This window comes from Homo sapiens, chromosome X (genome assembly GCF_000001405.40).
Source record: "Homo sapiens chromosome X, GRCh38.p14 Primary Assembly".
NCBI classification, from domain to species: domain Eukaryota; kingdom Metazoa; phylum Chordata; class Mammalia; order Primates; family Hominidae; genus Homo; species Homo sapiens.
The window spans coordinates 3204546-3208272 of record NC_000023.11 but is presented as its reverse complement, the minus strand read 5'-3'; positions in this window follow the sequence as shown (position 1 = coordinate 3208272).

The window sequence follows — 3727 nt, the reverse complement described above, 5'->3', positions numbered from 1 at the left end:
CACAATCAGCCCTCCATTCTGTGGATTCAAACACTCATGAATCGGAAATACTAAAAAAAATAATTCATCTGTACTAAACAAGTACAGACTTTCTTTTTGTTGTCATCATTCCATAAATAATACAGTATAGCCACTATTTACATAGCATTTACAGTGCATTCGGTATTATAGGTAATCTAGAAATGATTTAAAGTATACAAGAGGGTTGCACAGGTTATATGCAAATATTACACAATTTTATATCAAGAACTTGAGCATCCATGGATTTTAGTATCTCTAGGAGGTGGTTGAATCAAAAGCAAATCTCTCTGTTTCTATTAGGTGAGGACTATGTGATAAGCATAGCTGGTAATTTTTAACAATGCTCCCCCTACCTGTACAGCAGATGGAGGGCCAATTTCTTATTGCTATTTATGACTATGATGTGGAGAACATTTCCTGCCTGAGTTGAGATTTTCACTCTATAGAAGCACATTTGCTTATTGCTAAACTCTTTGGGTCCAGTTATAAGCATGGCTCTATCCTCAAATATAATATGCAACCTACCTAGGTTTATAAAAAATCAGTTCATAAATGTTTTCTAGCCCAAGGGCAGGGGTCTATATGGTGATGGTGAGGAACCCAAAAGACTTCTCCCAAACTCCTTCCTGCCAAGGAGACAGAGTAGCTGCTAATTTGAGGGCCACATAACTAAAACGTTTTAGATCAATCCCTATTTAAAATATTCTCTCAGGCAGGGCTTGGTGGCTCACATCTGTAGTCCCAGCACTTTGGGACGCCAAGGTGGGAGGATTGCTTAAAAGCAGGAGCTTGAGCCCAGGAGCTCAAGACCAGGCTGGGCAACACAGTGAGCCCTCATCTCTTAAAAAAAATTAAAAATAATTAGCTGGGCGTGGTGGTGCATGCCTATAGTCCCAGCTCCTTGGGAGGCTGAGGTGGGAGGATCACTTGAGTCTAGGAGGTCTAGGCTGCAGTGAGCTGTGATTACACCACTGCACTTCAGCCTGGGTGATGCAGCAAGACCCTGTCTCAAAAAGAAAATAAAAAAGAAACTTCTCATTTTACCCACATGGAGGAAAAAAAGAAAAAAAGGAAAGATGGGAATTGCTCAAAGAAGAGAAAGATGGAATAGGAAGAGAAAGGAATGAAGACGTGCATTTATTGAATCCTAAGTCACATCAGACATACAACAAAAAGTAGCAAGCACATATAACAAATCTTACTCTATAGATGAGGAGATGCAGGTTTAAAGGGTAACTGGAAAGCAAATGGCATAGAAATAAAAGATGAGTTCCAGGACAACACCTCCAATGTGAGTTTTCCTGGCTTTAACATCTGTCTTTCTCCCATACCCTCCCAGGCCCTTGGTGTGTGGGTTGAGCTTGGTTGGGAAAATATGGCCACCATATTGCTAGGAAAGAAACCAAGGGTGGACTGTTACCAATGCCCAGGGGACATGAGTCACTTCACATTTTCTTTTCTCCTGACTTTAAATACTCAGTGCTTTCATTTCAGATCAAAAATTAATTTCTTTTCCAGAGACAGAAGGATCCTAAAATATTGTTGCCTTGGCTCCATAAACCTGACATTTTAGAAGAGTAATTCAAAGAGAAGTACCATTAAATGAGAACTTAGAAGTGGAGAGCCTCAATTGCCCTCTGTTTTTCTCAGGGGAAGAGCACAAAACAAAAGACGACAACCAACCAATCATCACCAGCCCTATGGCGGTTCTGAGCCTCGGTCATGCCACATGCATCCTCCAAATAGCACATGTTTCTCATCACCCTGGGTGGATGATGGAAAAGTCAAGCCACTTATTCCAACGCATTCAACAATGCTCACCCACAGTGGAGCCCACAGAAATGTCAATATGTCACGATCTCTGATTTTCCTATACTTATTTCTACTGCAAATAAGAGAGGGGAAAATCGCAGAGCCTGAGATATAGGTTTATATATGATAATATAGTTCTCCTCCTTCAATAATCAGGATGTTACAGTCAAGAAAACAGGCTGTCAATGTTCAACTCACTAAACTAGGTAGTATAGACACGTATGTATTTAAATTTATTCAAACTTAATTCAAACTTAAGAACTAATGAGGATAAATGTTATACAATATTCCCACCTGAGATGAAAAAAGAACTAAGCTTAAAGATAATGGATATTTAATAAGACACAGCTGTGGTGACTCTTACCTGTAATCCCAGTGCTTTGAGAGGCCAAGGTGGGCGGATCAGTTGAACCCAGGAGTTCAACACCAGCCTGGGCAACCTAGTGAAACCCCATTTCTACTAAAAATACAAAAATTAGCTGGGCATGGTAGTGCATGGCTGTATTCTCAGCTACTTGGGAGCCTGAGGCTGGAGGATAACTTGCGCCCAGAAAGCAGAGGTTGCAGTGAGCTGCGATTGCGTCACTGCACTCCAGCCTGTGCGACAGAGTGAGACTCTGCCTCAAAAAAATGAAATAGGACACCCTATAAGGTATAAGGACACAGGTATTAATTATTGTACTCCATTGAACTCCTAGTCATTACATCGAGGATTTATCTTGTGCTTAATTTTATCAGGAGTTATAAAGAAATCACATGAAAGCAGAAAATATGCCTGTAAAAACAATAATAAGGATATAAGGAAATAATTAACCCACAAGTATTTAGTCAATGTGGACCCTGATTAATTTGGGAGAGTTATAAAACATAACCCACAGCCTCCCAGAATTAAAATATATTGCAGCTTTCTTTTTTTAAACATTCAGATTGTATTTTTATGGTCTCTAACATGTACCACATATGACCACATATGTAACATATAACTGAGATTTCAATACGTATCAATTAACATTGTAGACTAACAAGCTTTACTGACAATAAAATCCAATTTTTCCTTCAATTTTTAAACACAAAATATCCAAATAATTGCATAATTTAATCTCAAGCATTGAGACACAAATAAAGATGGAATTACTTGGGGGGTTTCTGATCACGTGAAGTACTGTTTTTGTATTACTATGTGTGATAAGGCTATTCCTATACCTCAGCAGGAATTTTCACTTAGAAGCAGAAAATCATTTTCTTTCAAACCTTGAAAAGATGAACTCTGCCCCCATCCTTATCCAAAGATAATATTGCTATGAAGTATAGAGATTCTTCTTGCCTATGCAAAATGTGACCAAATAGAAATCACTATAGAAAGTCATAGGACATTGCTAAAGGGTTCATGTTTCATACAAAGGAAATTTGAATCTTCATCTCCCATTATCTTTGCACCAAAGCCTGACCTCAGAGCTGGGCTAGCTGCCTAAACGTCGGTTCTGACAAAAGATAGTGACTATCATTGAAACCAAATGGATTTAAAGATCCAAGAACTGTGGAAATGGGACTCAAAGGAATTCCAGCACTAACGTTCCCTCTCTGTGTGGACTACATTTATTCAAGCTAATATGAACTGCAATTTTCATGATGTTGGATGCACAGTATTTCGAAATTACCCAAGGCAAGCGCCCTGACAGAAGTTCTGGCTAATATTAACAGGTTACACAAGAAAGAAAATGGAAATAGGTCAAAGAATTTCTAAATAGAGAAGGAAAAAAAAGAAGCTCTGTTGATTCTTCCCAGTCAACTGTATGTGTCCTAGAAAAAGCTTGGGTGTTCTGGTCCTTGTAGCTCCTCAGCAAAGTAATTGTACATGAGTATAATTTTGAGGATACGATACTACATACATTTG